Source organism: Homo sapiens, chromosome 6 (assembly GCF_000001405.40).
Source record: "Homo sapiens chromosome 6, GRCh38.p14 Primary Assembly".
Taxonomy (NCBI): domain Eukaryota; kingdom Metazoa; phylum Chordata; class Mammalia; order Primates; family Hominidae; genus Homo; species Homo sapiens.
In genome coordinates, this window is record NC_000006.12 from 109,203,636 (window position 1) to 109,227,733 (window position 24,098).

The following is a 24,098-nucleotide window of genomic DNA, read 5'->3' on the forward strand; positions in this document are numbered from 1 at the left end:
CAACCAGTAGCTGTTTTTGAAATTGCCCACTCTCTGAGACTTTTTTTCTGGATTCCACTTCTCACTTCATCCTGTTTAGGTTTCCCAAAAATTTCAAAGCGTCTTCATGGAGCAACAGAGATTGCAAATGTTTCCAGACTGTGAAGCTGGAATAGCTAAAGCAGATAATTTGGGTTTGGCAGGACCCAGAATGACCCTGAAAAAGAAAGCCAACTGGATTTCCTTCATAAAGGTAAAGAGACTTGTAGTGATAGTCATCTATCAGTGATGTCAGCAGTGTCACAGTGTCATCTAAGCAGGCTAGGCAACCTGGCAACAACAGGTTTATGTAGTCCCTGTTGTCCCCTCTCCTTAGTGCCCTCAGCAAACTGTCCTCTTTGACTAGGGGAGATGCTTCCCTGTCCTCAAGGGAGGCAACTCAGAGAACCTGGCCTTGTGTGCCACACTGTCCCAGCTTTTTGCCTGCCTTGGCTCTATATCGAAGTTTGCTATGCTAATCTGCCTTCTCTGAAGGTTCTCCAGATGCCAGTACCCCACTCTAATGGGCCCAAACTCCCTGCTTATTACTAATGATCTCAGATACTTGGCAAGAGCTAAGCTTACTATCCAAGGGTGTGATTGACTTGTGTAAATCCAACCATTGAGTCAAAAACTATTTATTTGGTACATATTGTATATCAGGTGTGGCCGTTCATGCTGGAGATACACAGTTCACAAACAATATGCAAGTAAGCAGACTAAATAAGATGATTTTAGGTAGTGCTAACTATGGTCAATTCTTGTTATTCAAGGTAGTTGTGTTCTGGAAAGTCACCAGGAACACTGAGTTAGCAAATATTGAATCGTTACCCCTAGGGGAAATAGAGTTAGTTCCTGTGAACCTCTCGTCGGAACACTCATCAATACATAACTGTTTTATGTGTGTTTCTGTTTAAAGACATCTTATTTAAAATATATTGTTGATTCATTAATATTGAACTAATGACTAACAGCACTATAATTCATGCCTGAATGAAGCTTATTTAACACATGTATTTTTTCCAAAAGGTACATCACACAGCCTTCTAATGCTTAGGAACATTAGACATTACTTTGGCACTACCCATGGGGACCATTTTCAACAGTAAAATGACCACCAAAAAGCACAAAAATGTGAAGAATGTGGCACTAAATGGACCACAAAAGGATCCTTGTTTGTAATATGCGAGCAGAAACAAGAAGGCAGAGTGTTGCCTTGTTCATACTGAATTGAGAATATGCCCATTGAGTGATTCAAATTTTTACCACCCTGCACACGCCTATGAGTGACTGTGAAAACTCTACTAGTATTGAGTTTTGAGTCACAAAAAATGTTAGATAGTAGGCAAAATCACAAACATGGAATCCACAAACAACAAGGATTGATTGTATCATGAAGAAAAGAAAAATCTTGGCCAGGTGCGGTGGCTCACGCCTGTAATCCCAGCACTTTGGGAGGCCAAGGTGGGCGGATCACGAGGTCAAGACATCGAGACCATCCTGGCCAACATGGTGAAACCCCCTCTCTACTAAAAAAAAAAATACAAAAATTAGCTGGGCGTGGTGGCATGAGCCTGTAGTCCCAGCTACTTGGGAGGCTGAGGCAGGAGAATCACTTGAACCTGGGAGGTGGAGGTTGCAGTGAGCTGAGATTGCGCCACTGCACTCCAGCCTAGCGACAGAGTGAGACTCCATCTAAAAATTAAAATAAAATCAAATAAATTTTGTATGACTGTTTTAGTCTATTCAGGCTGCTTTGACAAAATACCATAAACTGGGTAGCTTATAAAGAACAGAAATATATTTCTCACAGTTCTAGAGGCTGGGAAGTCCAAGATCGGGGGCCAGCATGGTCAAGTTCTGGAAGGTCCTCTTCCAGGCTACAGGCTTCTGCTTCTCCCTGTGTCCTCACATGGTGGAAGAAAAAAGCCAAGCTCCCTCAGGCCTCTTTTGTAAGGGCATGAATGCTGTTCATGAGGGCTCTACCATCATGATCTAATCACATCCCCAAATTCTATTACTAATGCCATCACCTTGGGGGTTAGGTTTCAACATTTAAATTTTAGAGGAACACATTCAGACCATAGGAGTGAATCAGGATGGACTGAGAGAAATCAAAGATTTCTCCTAGTTCCATCTAGTGCTTGAGGAACAAGGTAGTCTATGTAAGGGAAGCCAGACTTTCTGTTTTAGATTGTTACACTTGATATCCAAGAATAGATATCAAAGGAGTAGTTGGATATAATAGGCTGGAGTTTAGGGCTGAGATATAAATTTGAGTGTTAATGGTGTTTACAGCAACAGAACTTATTTTTGAAATACAGTTTATTAATATGAAAGATGTTTTAAATGTGGAGTCACATGGAGTCTGTGGGTGAACTTTCTTTTGCCCTGTAAATAAAGTGCAATGACCAACTCTGATGGATTTAGGGTCCCTGCTGCTTGTGGGTGGTATGGTGTCATCCCAGATAGATCTACTGCATCTTATAGTCCAGGCACCAACAGGAACTGGTGCTGCTGTCTCCTTCAATGGATCTGTGAACCCATGAAGACCCTTTCCAAAAGCTCACTTGTCCTAGCCAACCTAGCACCAAAGCCAGATACCATTTCAGAAGGTCCTTGAATCTCTTTGCTTGCAACTTTTATTGAGAATCATTCTGTTATGTTGTAACTTTATGTGAACATGTTTGTCCACTAGATCAAGCCAAAATGTGATCCATGGCAAAAGAAGCTTTTGACTAAATTAAAAGAACGGAGAAGAACAGATGCATTATTGCAACTCCAAGCAAAGTTTTTGAAGGTGAGAAAATAACCATGTTTCCATGTAGATGTTTTCTAAAATCATTCTCAAAATATGCAATTTTCTTTCCCTTTTTAAAAATGTTGGCATGGATTCACCATGACGGCTTTATTTGAAACTTTTTTTTTTTTTTGAGACAAGAGTCTTGCTCTGTCACCCAGGCTGGTGTGCAGTGGCGTGATCTCGGCTCACTGCAACCTCTGCCTCCTGGGCTCAAGCGATTCTCCTGCCTCAGCCTCCCTAGCAGCTGGGATTACAGGCGTGCACTACCATGCCCAGCTAATTTTTGTATTTTTAGTAGAGACGGGGTTTCACCATGTTGGCCAGGCTGGTCTCGAACTCTCGACCTCAAGTGATCTGCCCACCTCGGCCTCCCAAAATTGTAGGATTACAGGCGTGAGCCACCATGCCTGGCCTTATTTTAAACTTTCTAATCTAATTGCCACACTTTAAAAATCCTGTTAGCTTTCAGTAGAGAATAAAAAATTGTCAAAAAGCTGGACTTTAGGGCCAGGCACAGTGACTCATGTCTGTAATCCCAGCACTTTGGGAGGCCAAGGCAGGAGGATTGTTTGAGCCCAGGAGTTCAAGACCAGCGTAGGCAACAAAAAGAGACCCTGTCTCTACAAATTATTTTCTTTAAAAATTAGCCAGGTGTGGTGAAACACACCTGTAGTCCCAGCTACTCAGGAGGCTGAGGTGGGAGGATGGCTTGAGCCCAGGAGGTCAAGGTTTCAGTGAGCCATGATTGCATACTGCACTCCAGCCTGGGTGAGAGCGTGAGACTCTGTCTCAAACAACAATAACAACAACAAACAAAAACCAAAACCAAAACCCAAAAAACTGGATTTTAGTCCAGCTTTAACACCAACTCCCTGTGATATTTGTCTAGTCATGTAACCTCCTTGAGCCTTAGCTTCTTTATCTGTGAAACAAAATACTCAACTAAATTATTTTTTAAAATATTTTAATTGACAAAAATTGTACATAATTATAGGGTACAGAGTGATATTTTGATACATACAGTGTATAATTATCAAATCAAGGTAACTAGCATATCCATCTTCTCAAACATCTATTATTTATTTGCCCTGGGAATATTCAAAATCCCCTTTTCTAATTATTTGAAAATATACAATAAATTATTGTTAACTACAGTCACGTTACAGTGCTATGGAATGCAAGAACTTATTTTCCCTATCTACTGATAATTTTGTATCCTTTAAACAATCTCTCCCTATCCCACCCTCACCCTCTCAGCCTTAATAATCACTATTCTACTTTCTGCTTCTATGAGAACAACTTTTTTAGCTTGTGAAAATGGGTAAGAACATGTGGAGAACATGAGTAAGAACATGTGTTTACCTTTCAGTGCCTGGCTTATTTCACTTAACATTAAGTCCTCCAAGCTCATCAGTGTTGTTGCAAATGACAGGATCTCATTCTTTTTACGGCCAAATAGTATTCCACTGGGTATATATAACACATTTTCTTTATCCATTCATCTGTTAACGGATACTTTTATCTTGGTTATTGTGAATAGGGCTGCAATAAACATGGGAGTACAGATACCTGTTCAATATACTGATTTCCTTTTTTAAAAATTTATACACCATAGTGAGATTGCTGGATCATGTGGTAGTTCTAGTTATAGGTTTTAGAGGGACCTCCATACTTTTTTCAATAATGGCTATGGTAATTTATAAGTCCAACAGTGTATAAGAGTTGTCTTTTCTCTGCATCTTTGCCAGAATTTGATTTTTTTTGTCTTTTTGTTAATAGCCATTCTAACTGGAATGAGATTATATCACATTGTGGTTTTTGATTTGCATTTGATGATTAGTGATGTTGAGCATTTTTTCATATACTTGTTGGTCATTTGCATACTTTCTTTTGAGAAATATCCATTCAGGATAATTTTCCCATTTCTAGATCAGATTATTTGTGTGTGTGTGTGTGTGTGTGTGTGTGTGTGTGTGTTTAGTTTGAAATAATCCCACTTGTCTATTTTTGCTTTTGTTGTCTATGCTTTGGAGATTATATCCATAAAATATTTTCCCAGACCAATGTCCCGAAGTGTTTCTCCTTATAGTTTCTTCTAATAGTTTTATAGTTCAGAGTCTTATATTTAAATCTTTAATCCATTTTGAGTTGATTTTTGTATATGGAGAGAGAAGGGTCTTGTTTCATTTTTCTGCATATCCAGATATCCAGTTTATCCAGCACCATTTATTGAAGAGACTGTTCTTTCCCCAATGTATGTTTTTGGTGCCTTTGTTAAAAATCACTTGACTATAAATATGAGGATTTATTTCTGGGTTCTCTATTCTGTTTCATTGATCCATGTACCTGTTTTTATGCCAGTACCATGCTGCTTTAGTTACAGTATATTTATAGTATATTTTGAAGTCAGATAATGTGATGCCACCAGCTTTGTTCTTTTTGATCAGGATTACTTTGGTTGTTTGGGTCTTTTGTGGTTCCGTACACATTTTAGGATTATTTTTTCTATTTCTGTGAAGAATGTCAGTGGTGTTTTGATAGGGATTGCTTTGAATCTGTGGATCAATTTGGGCATGGTCATTTTTAACAATATTAATCTTTTCAATCTATGAACATGGTATTTCTTTCCATTTTTTGTGTTTTCTTCCATTTCTTTCATTGGTACTTCGTAGTTTTTATTGTAGAGATCTTTCACCTGTGTGATTAATTTTATTCCTACATAATATTTTTTATAGCTATTGAAAATGTAATTGCTTTCTTGGTTCCTTTTTCAGCTAGTTTGTTATTGGTGTATAGAAATGCCAATAATTTTTGTATGTTGATTTTGTATCCTGAAATTTTACTAAATTTGTCTGTCAGTTCTAAGAGTTTTTGGCAAAGTCTTTAGGTTTTTCCACATATAAGATCACATTGTCTTCAAAAAGACAATTTGACTTCCTTTTTTCCAATTTGAATGCCCTTTGTTTTTAGTTTTGCCTAGTTGCTCTGGCTAGGACTTCTAGTACAGTGTCAAATTGTAGTGGGGAAAGTAGGCACATTTATATTGTTCCAACTATTAGAGGAAAACCTTTCAACTTTTCCTCATAATGTTAGTTGTAGGTTTGTCGTATGTAGACTTTATAGTGCTGAGGTAAATTTCTTCTATGCCTAATTTGTTGAGAGTTTTTATCATGAAGGGATGTTGAATTTTATCAAATGCTTTTTCTGTGCCTATTGAAATGATCATGTATTTTTGTTCTTCATTCTCTTTGTGTGATGTATCAAGTTTATTGAGTTGTGTATATTGAATCATCCTTGGATCCCTGGGATAAATCTCACTTGATCATGGTGTATTAATCTTTTGGTGCGCTGTTGGGTTTGGTTTACTACTGTTTTGTTGAAGATTTTTGCATCTATGTTCATCAGGAATATCAGCCTGTAGTTTTCTTTTTTGTTGTTCTGTCCTTGTCTGGGTTTTGTATTAGGGTAATATTGGCCTTGTAGAATGAATTTGGAAGAATTCCCTCCTTTTCATGTTTTTGGAATAGTATAAGAGGAATCCACGTTAATTCTTTAAAAATTTGGTAGAATTCGGCAATGAAGTCATCCAGTTCTTGGCTTTTCTTTGTTGAGAGACTTTTTATTACTGATACAGTTGTGTTCCTTGTTATTCATCTGTTCAGGTTTTCTACTTCTTCCTGGTTCAATCTTGATAGGTTGCATGTGTCCAGAAGTTTACCCATTTCCTCTAGGTTTTCCAATTTGTTGGCCTATAGTTGTTTATAATAGTCTTTAATGGTCCTTGTATTTTTTTTTTTTTTTTTGAGACAGAGTTTCGCTCTTGTTGCCCAGGTTGGAGTGCAATGGCGCAATCTTGGTTCTCCACAACCTCTGCCTCCCGGGTTCAAGCAATTCTCCTGCCTCAGCCTCCCGAGTAGCTGGGATTACAGGCACCTGCCACCATGCCTGGCTAATTTTGTATTTTTAGTAGAGACGCAGTTTCTCCATTTTGGTCAGGCTGGCCTCGAATTCCTGACCTCAGGTGATCCACCCACCTCAGCCTCCCAAAGTGCTGGGATTACAGGTGTGAGCCACTGTGCCCGGCCTAGTCCTTGTATTTCTGTGGTATCAGTTTTAATGTCTCCTCTTTCATTTTTAATTTGATTTATTCAGATTTTTTTTTGTTAGGTAGTCTAGCTAATGGTTTTTCAATTTTGTTTATCTTTTTAAAAAGTCAGCTTTTTGTTTCATTGATCTTTTGTATTGTTTTTAGTTTTTAATTAATTTATTTCTGCCCTGATTTTTATTATGTATTCCCTTCTACTTATATTGGATTTGGTTTGTTCTTGCTTCTTTAGTTCCTTGAGGTGCATCAGTAGGTTGTTATTTTCAAAATTTACTACTTTTTGGTGTAGGTGTTTGTTGCTATAAACTTCCTTCTTATACTGCTTTTGCTGTATCCGATAGGTTTTGGTATGTTATGTTTCTTTTCTTTTTTTTATTTTTATTTTTATTTTGAGATGGAGTCTCACTCTGTCACCCAGGCTGGAGTACAGTGGCGTGATCCTGGCTCACTGCAACCTCCACCTCCTGGGTTCAAGTAATTCTCGTGCCTCAGCCTCCTGAGTAGCTGGGGTTACAGGTTCCTGCCCCCAAGCCTGGCTAAATTTGTATTTTTAGTAGAGATGAGGTTTCAGCATTTTGGCCAGGCTGGTCTTGAACTCCCGACCTCAGGTGATCTGCCTGCCTTGGCCTCCCAAAATGCTGAGATTACAGATGTGAGCCACCACGCCTGGCCAGCATGTTGTGTTTCTATTTTCATTAGTTTCAATACATTTTTAAAATTTGCTTTTTAATTTCTTTATTGATTTGTTGGTCATTCAGGAGCATGTTGTTTAATTTCCATGAGTTTGTGCCATTCCCAAAGTTTCCCTTGTTATTGATTTCTAGTTTTATTCCAATGAGGTCTGAAAAGATACTTAATATAATTTTGATTTTTTAAAAATTTTTTGAGTCTTTTTTTGTGGCCTAACATTTTGTCTATCCTAGAGAGTGTTCCAGGTGCAGATGAGAAGAATATGTATTCTGTAACTGTTGGTTAAAATGTTCTGTAAATGTCTATTAGGTCCATTTGTTTATAGTGCAATTTAAGATTGATATTTCTTTGTTGAATTTCCATCTAGATGATTTCTCCAGTGCTGAGTGTGGGGTATTGAAGGCATCAACTATTATAGTATTGGAGTCTATCTCTCCCTTTAGATCTAATAATATTTGGTTAAATATCTGGGTGCTCTGGTGTTGGGTGTATATATATTTATAATTACTATATACTCTTGCTGAATTGATCCCTTTGTCATTATATAATAAACTTTATCTCTTTTTACTGTTTTTGACTTAAAATCTATTTTATCTGATGTAAGTATAGCTACACCTGCTCACATTTGGCTTCCATTTGCATGGAATATTTTTTTCCATCCCTTTTTTTTTTTTTTTTTTTTTTAGTTTACGTGTCTTTACAGATGAAGTGAGTTTCTTCTAGGCAGCATATAATTGGATCATTTTAAAAAATCAATTCAGACGGTCTATGTCTTTTAATTGGGGAATTTAAACTATTTATATTCAAGGTTATTGTTGATAGGTGAAGGCTTACTCATGTCATTCTGTTAGTTGTTTTCTGGTTGTTTCATATAGTCTTTGTTCCTGTTTCCTTTCTTATTGTTTATATTTTCAGTTTGGTGGTTTTCTGTAGCAAAAAGATTTGATTACCTTCTCTTTCTTATGTGTATCTGCTCTATCAGTAACTTTTATACTTTTGTCTGTTTTCATGAGGGTAGTTATTGTCCTTTCACTTCCAGATGCAGGACTTCTATATTTCTTGCGAAGCCAGTCTAGTGATGATAAATTCCCCATTTTCTCCTTGTCTGGAAAAAACTTTATTTTGCCTTCATTTCTGAAGGTTAACTTTGCTAGGAATAGTACTCTTGACTGGCAGTTTTTCTTTTCTTTCAGCACTTTAAATATATCCTCCTATTTTCTTCTGGTCCATAAGGTTTTGCTGAGAAACCTCTGTTAGTCTGATGGAGATTCCATGATATGTAACTTGACACTTTTCTCTTGCTGTTTTTAGAATTTTCTCCTTTGCTTTGACTTTTGACAGTTTAACTATAATGTGGCTCAGAGAGGGCTTTCTGGGTTGAATTTGGGAACTTTTGAGCTTACTAGATATGGATATCCATATCTCTCCTAAGACTTGGGAAGATTTCAGTGATTATTTTATTATGTAGGTTTTCTATGCCTTCTTCCAGCTCTTCTCCTTCTGGAATTCCCATAAAATGAATATTTGTTTACTTAATGGTTTTATATAAGTCGTTTAAGCTTTCTTCATTTTTTTCTTTTTTGTCTGGCTGGATTATTTCAAAAGACCTTCAAGTTCAGAAAATTTTTCTTCTGCTTGATCTAGTCTATTGTTGAATTTCTCAATTGTATTTCTTATGTTATTCACTGAATTCTTTAACTCTAAGATCTCTGTTTGGGTCTTTTTTATATCAATCTCTATTGAGTATGTTATTTATTTTTTATTTGTTTTTGAGACAGAGTCTTGCTTTGTCACTTAGGCTGGAGTGTAGTGGCACAATTAGAACTCTCACTACAGCCTTGAACTTCTGGGCTCAAATGATCCTCCCACCTCAGCCTCCCAAGTAGCTGGGACTACGTGCATGTACTACCACACCTAGCTAATTTTAAAAATGTTTAGTAGAGATAAGATCTCACTGTGTTTCCCAGGCTGGTCTTGAACACCTGGACTCAAGCAATCCTCCCACCTCAGCCTCCCAAAGTGCTGGGATTACAGGTATAAGCCACCATGCCTGGCCAGATTTTTCATTTAGATCATGAATTATTTTTCTGATTTCATTGAGTTGTCTATCTGTTTTCTCTTGTATCTCACTGAGTTTTCTTAAAATAATTATTTTGAATTCCTATCCAGGCATTTTATAGATTGCCTTTTCTTTGGGGTCTGTTGCTAGATACTTACCATGTTCCTTTGGAGGGGTCATGTTTCTTTGCTTTTTTGCTTCTTGTATTATTACATTGATATCTGCATATCTGGTGGAATGGGTGCCTCTTCCAATTTTATGGGGTAGCTTTTATAGGGATACATTTTCCCCATAGATGTGTCCTATAGTGTTGGTTAGGTAAGGATGCTTTAGTTTTGGTTCTGGATGGGTACAGTAGAGTAGTCTCTGTGTGATTTCTTTGGCTGTATTCAGTGTCTGCAAGTACCTTACCGGCCTAGGCTCTGGGTATTTGTGAAGGCAGTGTTGTGGCTTTGCTTGGGGTAAGGGCCACCAAGTGGGCCAATTCTTAGGTTCTGGAGGGCACACAGTGGGCATGGCATCTCTGCTGGTTGCAGGGTTGGTGTTGCAGGCACCAGTCAGGCTGGATGTTGGTTCCTGGGATACTGGTGTAGTACATGGTGGCTCTGCCACTGGAGGAGATGGGTTTGCTGGCAGCTGTAGGCACCAGGTGGACCAGTCATTGGTCCCTGGGGAGCCTGCACCTAAGTGATACTTTTATTTTGGTTAAAAAAAAAGTAACATAAAATTTACCATCTTAACCATCTTTAAGTACAGTACGTCCTCACTGAACACCATTGATAGATTCTTGGAAACTGCAACTTTAAACAAAACAACGTATAAGAAAAATCAGCATTTTTTCTCATCAACATTACAATAAAATGATATTGAATAAAATGATGTTACCTGAGGACCTGCTCTACACTGTTTTGCTTAAAGTTGTGGTTTCCAAGAACCTATTGATGACATTAAATGAATATTTACTGTATACCATTCAGGGATACAGAAAATGTATCCCTATAAAAGCTACCCCATAAAATTGGAAGAGGCACCCATTCCACCAGATACACAGATATCAATGTAAGAATACAAGAAGCATCCAGGCACAGTGGCTCACGCCTGTAATCCCAACACTTTGGGAGGCCGAGATAGGTGGATCACCTGAGGTTGGGAGTTCGAGGCCAGCCTGACCAACATGGAGAAACCCCGTCTGTACTAAAAATACAAAATTAGCTGGGCATGGTGATGCATGCCTGTAATCCCAGCTACTCGGGAGACTAAGGCAGGAGAATCGCTTGAACCTGGGAAGCAGAGGTTGTGGTGAGCTGGAATAGCACCATTGCCCTCCAGCCTGGTCAACAAGACCGAAACTCCATCTCAAAAAAAAAAAAAAGATTACAAGAAGCAGAAAAGCAAGGAAACGTGACACCTCCAAAAGAACATGATAATTGTGGCATTGAATACATTCATAATATTTCACAATATATCTTCAGGATGTTTTTATCTTGCAAACTTAAACTCTATACCCATCAAACAACTCTCATTTTCCCTTCCTCCCAGCTCCTGGCAACCACCATTCTACTTTCTTTTTCTATATGTTTGGCTACTTTAGATACCTCATATAAGTGGAATCATGCAATATTTGTCTTTGTGGTTTATTTTACTTAGTATAATGTCCTCAAGGTTCATCCATGTTGCAGTTTGTGTCAGAATTTCCTTCCTTTTTTCAAGGCTGAATAACATTCCCTTATAAGTATATACCACATTAAAAAAAATCTATTCATCTGATATGAGGATTTGGGTTGCTTCCACCTTTTGGATATTGTCAATACTGTTGCTATAAATATGGATGTGCAAATACCTCTTCAAGATCTTGCTTTCAATTCTTTTGGATATATATCCAGAAGTACAATTGCTAGATCACATGGTAATTTTATTTTATTTTATTTTTTTAGGAACCACCATACTGTTTTCCATAGCATTTGCACCATTTTACAATCCCACCAACAGTGCACAAAGGTTCCAGTTTTGCCACATCTTCACCAACACTGGTTATTTTATGATTTTTAATAGCAGCCATTCTAATGGGTGTGAGGTGAAATCTTACTGTGGTTTTGATTTGAGTTTCTCTGATGATTAGTGATGTTGAGCATCTTTTATATGCTTCTTAGCCATTTGTATATCATCTTTAGGTAATATCTATTCAAATCCTTTGCTTATTTTTTCTTTCATCTTTCTTTTTTTTTTTTTTTTTTGGTAATTGACTGCCTATTTTTAAATCAGTTTATTTGATCTTTTCTTGTGAGTTGCAGTTCTTTTTGAGACAGGGTCTCACTCTGTTACCCAGGCTGAAGTGCAGTGGTGTGACCTTGGCTCACTGCAACCTCCTCCTCCTGGGCTCAAGCGATCCTCCCACGTTAGCCTCTCAAGTACCTGGGATTACAGGTGCACACCACTACACCAGGCTAATATTTTGGTATTTTTTTGTAGAGATGGGGTTTTACCATGTTTCCCAGGCTGGTCTTGAACTCCTGGGCTCAAGCAATCCACCTGCCTTGGTCTCCCAAAGTGCTGGGATTACAGGTGTGAACCACTGCACCCAGCCTGGAGTTCTTTATGTATTCTGGCTATTAGCCACTTATTGGATATATAATTTGCAAATCTTTTCTCCCATTATATAGGTTGACTCTTCGTTTCAATTGATTTGCATCCTTTGCTGCACAAAAGTTATTAAATTTGGTGTCATCCTATTTGTCCATTTTTGCTTTTGTTGCTTCGACTTTTGGTGTTATATTCAAGAAATGGTTGCCAAATTTAATATCATGAAGCATTTCCCCTATGTTTCCTTCCAAGAGTTTCATAATTGTAGGTCTTACATTTAGATCTTTAATTCATTTTGAGTAATTTTTGTATGTGGTATAATGATAAAACTTTATTATTTTGCATGTGGATATTCAGTTTTCCCAACACCATATATTGAAGACATTGTCCTTTCCCCATTGAGCGGTCTTGGCACCCTTAACCATATATGTGAGAGTTTATTTCTAGGCTTTCTACTCTATTCCATTGGTCTACCTGTCTCTCTTTATGCCAGTACCATACTGTTTTGATTACTATATCTTTGTAATATTTTTTGAATTCAGGGAGTGTAAGTTCTTCAACTTTGTTCTTTTGGAAAGTTGTTTAGCTGTTTGGGGTCCCTTGAGATTTCATATAAATTGTAGGATGAATTTTTCTATATCTGCAAGAAATATCTTTGGAATTTTGATAGAGATTGAAATAAATGATCTTTGAGGTTCTTTGTGATATTAAAGTGATGTAGTATATATGTATCACTTAAGTAGCAATTCAGTTCTGGGATTATTATTAAATTCTTTACCTCCAGATGAGAAGAAGGGACATTTATTCAGCTCCTTCTACATGGTAGGCATTATTGCAGCACTCTGGGTAGAGACATCATTAGTATTTTTGTTAGGTTGACTTGCCCTGCTCTGCATGGAAAAGCCAGGATTCCTGCAGAGATACAAGCCCAGGTCTGTGTCCTTATAAAGCTTGTGCTCTTCTTGTGCTACACTTCTGCGCCCTCCTCCATTGCCCAGAAGCTTCCTAACAGTTGACAGAGTTTGCACCCAATGCTGATGGGTGTTTATCTTTTCACTGATGTCACAACAGTTGTGGGAGTACCACCTGCTATTGTCTTTAGGGGATTGTCACAGAATTTTTAAATGAGCTACTATGTATATTTGAATACTTACAGTGCTAAATGGACAAACATATTTGGGGAATCATGATGCTGGACTTTAATTTTATTTTTTAATTGAATAAAGTCCTACCTAAATTTTCTTCCTTGTTCACGTGTATGTGACCAAAGTCTTGCTGAGAAAAAGGGAATATGCTTCTCATAACCATTCCTTCTCTTCTCTATTCTCCCTGAGATTTCCAACCCTGAGTGAGTAATGCAAGTGCTCCAAGATCACGCTGCAAAGACAGTCATGCTGGCTCCACATCAGCCATCGTTTGTGGCTTCCCAAGGTTTGCATCAGGGCAATTATGACCAAGTCTGGGAGAATATTGACAACAACATCAACCTCTGTCAGGTACTATAGGAAGAAATAACCAATATGCCCTTTTATGCAACTTGCTACCTGTGTGTAGCCCTTAGATATTTACTTTGGTAGTTTTTCTGACACCCTTCCCACGAAAATCTCTATCATCTAGCCAGGTTTATTTTCATTATAAGAAAGATTAAGTGCTCATTAAAAAGAAAGATATAAAGAAGTATAACATAAGATGTTGTTCCTACAAGGACAGATACTTAAACCAGTAAATGCCAGTGCAAGGCTGTACATCCAAGGGCTAAGCAACCAATGAGTTGGACAGTTATTAAATATCGTATTTAGAAAGTGGACCCCAAAGGGTAGATTCTATTGGGGAAAGCCTCTTGAAGGAGAGGAAATTGAGCTGGGTTTGAAGGAAGCATAGGACTTACGGAAGTGGTGGGGAGGAAAGTAGGGAGTGCATTCTAGGAGGTACAGCATGAAGAGCATGCTGAGGAGATACTGGATGTGATATAGTCAGAGCCAGCTTAGTTGAGTGGAAGATTCATGTGGAAATACAGTGAAAAGAAAGAATGTTTGTTTCTTTATTTGTCAGGGGAGGTGCTGGTTGTGAATGCTCATGCATTCCAGACAAAAGAATCTGTGCTTTTTCCTATAAGGAAAATATTTCATACAAAGGCATATGTTTAAGGAAAAATAATGTGACAGCAAAATGTTAGTTGGACTGAAAGAGGGAGAGTTTGGAGACAAGGAAGCCAGTTAGGTAGCTGCTGCACAGGATAGGCATGAGGTTTGGAAGTGAAAAGAAGTTTATTCACAAAGCTGGTGTATACTTGTCTTTACAATGATACCATAACATTTTTGAAGTTTTCATCTGCTATTATTTGTCACTCTAAAAGAAGAGTTTCGTTTCATTTGTCTATTTAAGTTGGGAAGGCCTAAATATGTTTATAGTCTAAGGGGAGGAAGCAGTAGAGAAGAGGAGACAGAAGATATGAAAAGGGAAATGTGAGAAACAGATGACCCTGGGGAAGAGGAAGCGATGGGATGAAGAAACCAGATGGAGGAGTAATTTTGAGAAATCAAGAATGACATCCCTTCCCTTGAGGTGAATGGGATACATAGAATTTTCAGGTGCAAAAAGGTAAGATGTGGGTGCTCCTGACTGGCCCTGGCTGTCTCAGAGAGAGGGAGGAGGCAGAGCTCATCTGCATTAGTGAAGTGGACGGCAAGAGCTACACGTGAGGAGGTGCATGGCTATGAGAAAGACCACAGGACCATCAGTAAGAGGAAAATACATGAGTGACTGCATAGTCAAGAGGCCCCTGGTAAAACACAATGCTATGAATTTGTAGTGAGCCCCTTTTGTATAAATTCTATTCCTTTCACCCCTAAACATGATTGTAGAGTGCCTGAAAATTGTATAAAATCAAAGTTGAGAGGAAGTTGAGTAAATGCTGGAGAAAGAAGTACGGTCACGGTCCATTATCCCAGGCTGGATATGGGGGAAAGTGAGACCTCAAGGTATCCAGTGAGTTATAGATTAGTTGGGAGCACACACACACACACACACATGCACACACACACACACACCCCTTTTATAACTGTTCAATTTGTTTGAGCAAGGATCTAGAGATCTAATGAGAAATGAGTTGGCCACACAGATCAGGAGCAGAGGCAATATATCATAACATGGATCTCCCAGGCCCCTGAATTTCCCGACAGGGTATGCAACTATCAGTGACACACTCCTTGGCTAGCATCCTGCCAGAGTTGAAAAAATAGCCACATTTTTCCTATCCCATTGCCGTTTTACAACTGAAGTTTGTATCACCATTCAGGAAGACCTTACACGAATAAGGAGATATTAAAAAAACATTGACTCTCCTGTTCCTGAACCAAACATAGAGGATACAGGGTAGAGGAGAAAGGAGTGAGAAGGCAGAGTCTGTCCCAGTGTCTTGGAACCGTGTCTTTTCTTCTGAGATCCTGAACAGTTTACTTATTTTTATTTTTATCTTTATTTATTTATTTATTTTTGAGACAGAGTCTCACTCTGTCACCCAGACTGGAGTGCAGTGGTGCGATCTCGGCTCACTGCAACCTCTGCCTCCCAGGTTCAATGGGACCACAGTCATGCACCACCACCTCTGGCTAATTTTCTTTTTTTTTTGAGACAGAGTCTCGCTCTGTTGCCCAGACTGGAGTGCAGTGGCATGATCTCGCTCACTGCAAGCTCTGCCTCCTGGGTTCATGCCATTCTCCTGCCTCAGCCTCCTGAGTAGCTGGGACTACAGGCGCCCGCCACCACACCTGGCTAATTTTTTGTATTTTTAGTAGAAACAGGGTTTCACCGCGTTAGCCAGGATGGTCTTGATCTCCTGACCTTGTGATCCACCCACCTCAGCCTCCCAAAGTGCTGGGATTACAGGTGTGAGCCATGGTGCCCGGCCACCTCTGGCTAATTTTCATATTTTCAGTAGAGATGGGGTTTCTCCATGTTGGCCAGGCTGGTCTTGAACTCCTGACCTCAAGTGATCCACCCACCTCAGCCTCCCAAAGTGCTAGGATTACAGGCGTGAGCCATCATGCCCAGCCTTGGACAGTTTACCTCTTGATGCAGATGTAATAATCATCCTTTACCTGGGGAGTTATGGTATTAACATCTGAGGCCCATCAGCACAAGTCTGTTTTCCTCCTTGAGTGAGAGAATAAAGGGAATTAAATTCCGGAGGTCCATAAAGAGGTGAGAGGAGATGAATAAGAGTGAGGAGAGGGCCAGGCACAGTGGCTCATGCCTGTAATCCCAGCACTTTGGGAGGCCGAAGTGGGTGGATCACAAGGTCAGGAGATCGAGACCATACTGGCTAACATGGTGAAACCCTGTCTCTACTAAAAATACAAAAAATTAGCCGGGCATGGTGGCACGCGCCTGTAGTCCCAGCTACTCGGGAAGCTGAGGCAGGAGAATTGCTTGAACCCTGGAGGCGGAGGTTGCAGTGAGCGGAGATCATGCCATTGCACTCCAGCCTGGGCGACAGAGTGAGACTCTGTCTTAAAAAAAAAAAGAAAGAGTGAGGAGAGGTCGGAATCAAAGGAGGAGGGAGTCAGAGATAAAGAGCTTCATGTTTGAAATTATGGAGAAACGGTAAGGTCTAGGGTGTGGCCTGACCACTGGGAAGCTGAGTTGTAGCACTGCCCACAGGCACTTAGGGGACAAAGGAGGTTACCTCTGTAGGACCACTGTGCCAGTGAAAAGCAGAAAGTAAACAGTGACAGTAGGAGATGGTGGCTCAGGTAAGTGTTGAGTAGTAGAAAACACCAAGCTAGGGCAACTGTGTAAGAAACTGGTGGAAATGGAAGCAGGGAAAGCTCCTGCTTCTCCTCCCAGCCGTGCAATGGAGGGGACAACTAACACTTTCTGCTCTCACTGCTTTCTTCCCCTTGTGGAGGAGATGGAGATTCAGGTACTGATAGGATGCAGTCTGTGCTTTCACCAAAGTCTGTTTTGAATGCAATTGCCCAAATAATAAAAAGAAAAGAAAACCACTTCCTCTAGCTATTTACTGACATATAAATGTTGTTCTTGGAATCTTGGAATTCCCCAAAGGGAGAAAAATATCAGCACTGCATTTTCAAGTTGACTTATGGTAAATAGACCATAGAGAGACTAATAATACCTGTAGATCTTCAGATTCCAGAGATGGGGCATGAGGGGAGACATACAGCACACACACAAATCACTGTACAAATTAGGATCATGAAGTTTTCCATTTTCTCATTCATTCATTCATTCCATGATTATTACATGGACATTGCCTTTGTGTCAGGAACTGTACTTGGGTTAGGGGATGAAACAGACCCAGTCCCTGCCCTGAGAGCAACATGCAATAAACAAGTGAACAAAGAAGTAAACCTACATCTCTAACTTGTGAGTGCCATGAAGAAAACAGGGGGCAGAGAACAATAAGTGGAGGGGAGCACCCTCTGACAGAGTTCAGCCAAATCTTGGGGTGGGAGGATTGAACTGAATTTAATGAATGAGAAGGAGGCAGCCATGCAAAGAGCCTGGAGAAAGAGAAGAATTCCCTTCCTTTCCTTTCCCTTCCCTTCCCTTCCCTCCCCTCCCCTCCCCACCCCTCCCCTCCCCACCCCTCCCCACCCCTCCCCTCCCCACCCCTCCCCTCCTCCTCCCTTCCCCTCCCCCTCCCTTCCCCTCCCCTTCCTCTCCCCTTCCCCTCCCCTCCTCTCCCCTTCCTCTCCCCTCCCCTCCCCTTCCTTTCCCTCCCCTCCCCTCCCCTCCCTTCCCTTTCCTTTTTTCCCTTTCTTAAAACCAGTGCTATTTTCTGTTCCAAAGCAAAGAACAGAAAATAGTACTGGGTTTAAGAATAGAAATTCCAAGGCAACAGCCAATATTTTCTAGTTTTCTTCACATTTTCCCATGGGTGGCACTTTGTAACCTCCTGGAGTATTTCTGCTTTGGTCAAGAGCCACTTTATACTGTATCAGTGCCCCACTGGTAGCACATAGCCATTCTGGATGTTAAATGCTAATCAAATCAGATTAGGATTAAGTAAAAATGTGGCAGCTAGGAGGAGTTACAGGAATGTGAGTATGAATCTTAAAGCTGTGTTACTATTTTGCAAACATGTAGCAGTCAAGTGTGGATTTTAGCATCTGTATGCTGGTCAGCATCTTGATTCTGAATTTGGCAAGTGGCAACCAATACCTCATGACAGATAAGTTTCTTAAAGGGCCTTCTGCATAAAGAAAAACAAACTTCATAGGACGACTGTCTGTCCATTTTGGCATCTCTGAGAGAATGAATATAATCACTAATTGTAGCACAACTTCAGAACAGTTTCTGGTCAGTTCTCTCTGAATGCCATTCACCAGTAACCTTTCCTTTTTTGTTTTGTTTTGTTTGTTTTTGACAGGGTCTTACTCTGTTGCCCAGGCTGAAGTGCAGTAGTGCGATTTCAGCTCATTGCAGCCTTTGCCTCCTGGGTTCAAGTGATCCTCCTGACTGAACCCCCTGAGTAGCTTGGACTACGGGTGGGTGGGCGCACACCATCACTACCAGCTATTTTTTTTTCTTTCTGTAGAGACAGGGTTTCACCATGTTGCCCAGGCTGGTCTCGAAGCAATCCACCTGCCTGGGCCTCCCAAAGTGCTGGGGTTACAGGCATGAGCCACTGTGCCCGGCCCCACTTTCCTTTAGGGAGTTTTTTTTTTTTTATTTATTTTGAAATAGTTTGAGATTTACAGAAAAGCTGCAAAGACAGTACAAAGAGTTCCCATCTACCCCTACTCAGTTTCTTATATTATTGACATCTTACATTGTAGTGATACATTTGTCATACCCAAGAAACCAACATTGGTACATTACTGTTAACTAAACTAGGCTTCATCTGGATTTCACCAGTTTTTCCATTAATGTTCTCTTTCTGCCCTAGGATCCTATCCAGGATACCATGTTACATTTAATCATCGTACCTCCCCCACCTCCCCTGCTCTGTGACAGTTCCTCAGTCTTTCTTTGTTTATCATGACATTGACAGTCTTTAGGAGTACCAGCCCCGCAATCTGTAGACCTTTGCCTAATTTGAGTTTGCCTGATATTTTCTCATGGTTACACTGGGGTTATGGGTTTAGAAGAAGAAGAATATCACAGAGGCTAAGTGTCCTCACCACATCCTATTCGGGGAACATGATATCAACGTGACATCATGGCTGATGTTAATCTAGCTCACTTGGTTAAGCTACTGGTGATTGCCAGGTTTCTCCACTGAAGTTACCATTTTTTTCTTTAAGGAGTTTTTAAAAATTAAGTTTAAATCATATAAGTGATAAATAAATGTCTTCTCCTTGTAAAAAGTTGAAACATTACTGAAAAGTTAAATTCCCCTTTAACTACTCCCTGCTGCCCATCCTGCTCCCCATTCCACCTCCTTAGAGGCAAACATGGTTATTGCTTTGAGCCTTTTCAATGCATTTACATACATACATATGTCCCCATAAAATATATATAGGATAAGTTTGCATTTGAGGTTTTTATATAAATGATATATCATACTATATGAATATCTTTCTGCAACCCAACAATATGTCTTGGAGATCTGCTGTTCTTTTCAATGGCTGAGTTGTATTTTATTGTATACTACAGATTACACCCCAGCTAGGCCTGTGTAGAACCTCTGGAACCTGTAATTGTTAGATCAAGTTACTCATGTTCATAAAAAAAGCACATTTATTAAAATGGCTATGTATAGACATCGCACACTACTATTGACCATCGTATTTTCAAAGATAAGGTTTAAATTGGTCACTGTTTTTTTAACCTCATGGAGTAGTAAAGCAGCAGCAAACACCACATCCAGGTTGCAGTGTCGGGGGGCAGTGGTAGAGCCCTTCCTTTGCCTCTTCCCACTGACCACACCAAGGAGGGGAGGTGCTCCCCTGCATTTCCAGAGGTAATGTGATGTAGTGAGAAGAAGGTGTGCTCGCACAGAAATGGTGGTGTAGACAGTAGCTCCGATGTGCAACATATTCAGCGAAACACAAAACACCCTTTTCCTGGTTCTTCTCACCAAATTCAATAAAATATTTACTTAAAAAATTTTCTGATGATAATAGTGGCATGTGTTTAACACAGAAAACTTGGGAAATATAGAAAAATACAAGAAAGAAAACTAAAATCACCCCTTGTTGTACCATCCAGAATAACAACAGTATTATTAATATTTGGTATATATCCTTCTGGTCTTTGTTTCAGTGGATAAACCCATGTAAGCAGCAGAGATGTTCTGGGTGTGGGGAATACATAACAGTCTTACTTTTCCTACCTACCTCCCACTTCATTTCCCCTGCCAACTTCCCAGAAGAAAATGAGATTTGCAATCAGCAGAAATCTCAGAACTGTCTAAACACATGAACTCAGCCATGCTGACAAAGAGCCGCAGGCAGTAAAGGTCAGCAGATTTCCACACCCAGGCCGGGAGAATGAACACAGATGGGGTTGCCCTGCTGCTTACCTGCACCGTCTCCAGTACGCTTAGGGGTCCATGCTTCTGGACTTGGTATTTCCTAAGCAGTTTCCTTTTGTGGGATGTTGTTGGTCCTTTTTCCTGGAGGATGCTGGGTGCTCTCCTTTTCCTGCTCCAGCTGATCTGTGCTCCCTTCCTTTTTCCCAGGCCACCTGCAGGTCCAGCAGTACTTTTGTGGTTTGTTCAGTCAGTCCTTCAAATGTCTTCCACTGTAACTTGATGTCACTTTCTGTCCTGTCCTATGTAATTCTGGGTAATTTTAGAAGCAGCTGAAAGTGTCACAATCCCATCAGAGAAAGGATGTGGCTCAGAGCCTTCCTTCTGGGACCACATCAAGCAGTGCTGAACAGCAACCTGAGAGCACTACAGGCCAGGAGGCAAAAGGCTCCACTGAACCCCTGCTACCCCATATTCATAGGAATTGTCAAAATTCAGCTACTCTCAGAGTATATGCTTTCCTATAGATTTTAAAAAACATAACAGATGTTCTTTACTTTGGAATGCCGATCTTTCTGTTTTAACGAACAAGAATGCACCATGTCACCTCACAGGGTCTTTTCCAGTCCTAGGGTTGTGGGATGTTTACACAGAAATACACTGATGTGTACACTGAGCTGGAAGCCAATTCTACCTACAAGCATAATGGGCAATCACTTAACGCTACTCAATTGGACAACTTTCTCTCTCACCCACTTTTCCTAATATTCCTGTCAACATTTTCCTTCCTCACTTCCTGTCAAAAGCCTGCTAGTCTATCTTTAGAGTCTTGGGGACTGTATTAGTTAAAATTAGGTTTGGCTGTTGGTGATGGTAAAATGATATGACAGAGGATTAAAGGAGGTGGAAATTGTGCTCTCTGTCCCTCATATGAATGTTTCAGGGTAGGATGTACAGAGCTGGTGTGGTAGATTTGCACTATGGAGCCCTCAGGGCTCTCAGCCCTGTCTATCTTGGAGTTCTAACAAATATGGCTCTACATTTGAGATCAACACCCAGCCTGAGACAGAGCTCCAGCTGTCACATTCATGCTCTAAGTAGCAGGATGGAGAAGGGATGAAGAAGCTGCCTCTACTAGAAATCCTTTGAAGCTGCAACATGGCACTTTACTCCTAGTCCATTGTCACGTAGCTACACCTAGCTGCAAGAGAGGCTTGGAAATGTTGTCTGTATCTAGGTGGTCAGGTGGCAAGATAAATATTCAATAACTGTAGGAAAAGAGGAAAATGGCTATTGGGGAACAACTAGCAGTTTCTGCAATAAGGGTCCGTTGGAATTCCAAGAACCAACTATTAGAATATAACCCAGAGAGGGGATTTCCAAGCTCAGCCATTGCCACTCAGTACTTTTGTGGGGATTGGTGCCACTATGAAAGTGCACACCTTATGAGATTGGGGTGTATGCCCAGAGACAGGCAAAGAAGGCAGCTAAGACGAGGCTGCCCAGAGGGTGAGGGGCAGGACCTCAGACCCGCATTGTCTTCCTCACAGTGTTATCTGGGGCTGGGGTGCATGATCACATCCCTCTCAGCATCAGGGAAGATGACTGTGGAAATAAGTGTGAACCTTGAATGCTGTGAGAGATCGTACAGGACTACTGAAGTTCGTAACAGGAGAGAACTGGCATCTTGAGCACCGATTAGGTACCGGGCACTAAGCTGGAGGTTTTATATACATTCTATCATTTAACTCTCACAACACCTTATCATTTTCCATTATCATGCCATTGTACAAATGTGGAAACAGGCTCATGACTGTAAATGACTGAACCATATAGCTAATACGTAGAAAGAGGCTTTATCCACTGAGCTCTCTCAGTACAGAACAAGACTAGATTAGAGAGGTTCAAAGGTCCCAAACATATACATTCTTGTATCAACTTTTTATAAAGGGAATTACATAAAAGACAGGGAGGTAGATGGCTATTATTTAAAAGCTGTGACTACTTTCGTGAAACAAAGATTAGTTTAGTAAAAACAATGACCTCCCTAATTTATTGTAGAAATTTAGATGTCAGGTTGAATATGTCAGCTTGAAGTAGATCAAACCCCTCTTTTACTTACTTATCTAAATATGCTTTGGATTATGAGGGTTACTTTTGCAATGACCTGACTGTGATTTTGTTAATCATATTGCAAATGTTTATGTAATTTGATTAATGCTAATTTTTTGATAGAATAAAAATATGAAAGATGATGACCTCTCCATGAAACAAAATGAAAATGATCTATCACAGATAACTCTCAGCCAACATGCTGATGGGCCTCTCAAGCAGATACAAGAGACAGGGTAAATTAAATCATATTATTAGTGACTCAAAAAAGTGGATTAAAACACTGTGGGGAAGACTGAGTGACTGATTAATATGTAGTTTACATGTTAACTCAAAAATATTTGAAGTCAGAAAGAAAGCAAGACTTTTAAAACAGGTCAGACAACTAAACTAATGCTTCACCCTACGACTGTGTTTTTAATGAGAGTAATTGCTAAGAGAAACTTGTCTTTACATGTATACATATAGAGTAATTATTTCCCCTCAGAAATTTATAAAGGGAAGCTATCATGAAACACCTTTAAATTAAGTAAAATGACTTTAGTTTTGTGCATGTGAAATTTTGGAATCACTTTGAGGTGAAATTGATTTATGATATCTCTCCTGCCTGCTAAAGGTACAACTATGCAATGACCCTACAACTGCTGGGCTTGGAAGACGGCACTGACCCCAGTGATAGGAATCCTGTTCTGATGAGAGGGGCCTACTTGTCCTTTCTGTATCTGTGCCACCTTCGAATCAGAGAACTGCAGGTATGTGGATGGCAGGCATCAGAAATGTCTGGTTGTCTAGAAAAGAGGTTTTCTGCTATTCCAATAGCAAATGGCATTTTATGCTTTTGCCCTTTGTTCCACTTTTTTTTTTCTTTTTAACATGGAATCAGCCCCTTTCCAGGGTGGTGTGTTCCTTTCCCACAGTAGGGTTGACCTGCCATCAAGTTGTATTCTATAGGGTGGACTAGGTGAAGGGCAGGGACCTGATTCTGTTCTTTTCTTTGTTTCAGCACATCTGCTTAGGAATTCTGAATTATTTCAGATCTGTTGAGCGAACCCTGACAATCAATACTTCGGGCCTTACCTTGGTTTCAGGGAAACTGGTCCCCACCATGGAAGATAGTTCCTGGGTAAATATGGCAAAAGGAGGTCTGGGCACCTTGCAGGGCCTGGGCGCTCACCACTATGTCCGTGAGACACCTGCTGAGCACAAGGTGAGGTGTTGTGCTGAGGTTTTTTCTTCCTTGATTATCCTGCCTCCCAAAGCCACCCTCTAGATAAGACCTGGAATCAATTAA

At 40.1% G+C, this 24,098-nt stretch overlaps 1 pseudogene across 1 annotated transcript in view; it reads left to right on the forward strand.

Moving 5' to 3' along the window:
• The window catches only part of CCDC162P (coiled-coil domain containing 162, pseudogene), a 189,118-nt pseudogene that overhangs the window by 37,805 nt on the left and 127,215 nt on the right, over positions 1 to 24,098 (forward strand). Inside the window, exons 9-14 of the transcript NR_152435.1 lie at positions 80 to 232; positions 2,717 to 2,818; positions 13,590 to 13,751; positions 22,931 to 23,043; positions 23,424 to 23,559; positions 23,811 to 24,014. The product of NR_152435.1 is annotated as a coiled-coil domain containing 162, pseudogene (transcript). The remainder of the gene's footprint in view (positions 1 to 79; positions 233 to 2,716; positions 2,819 to 13,589; positions 13,752 to 22,930; positions 23,044 to 23,423; positions 23,560 to 23,810; positions 24,015 to 24,098) is intronic.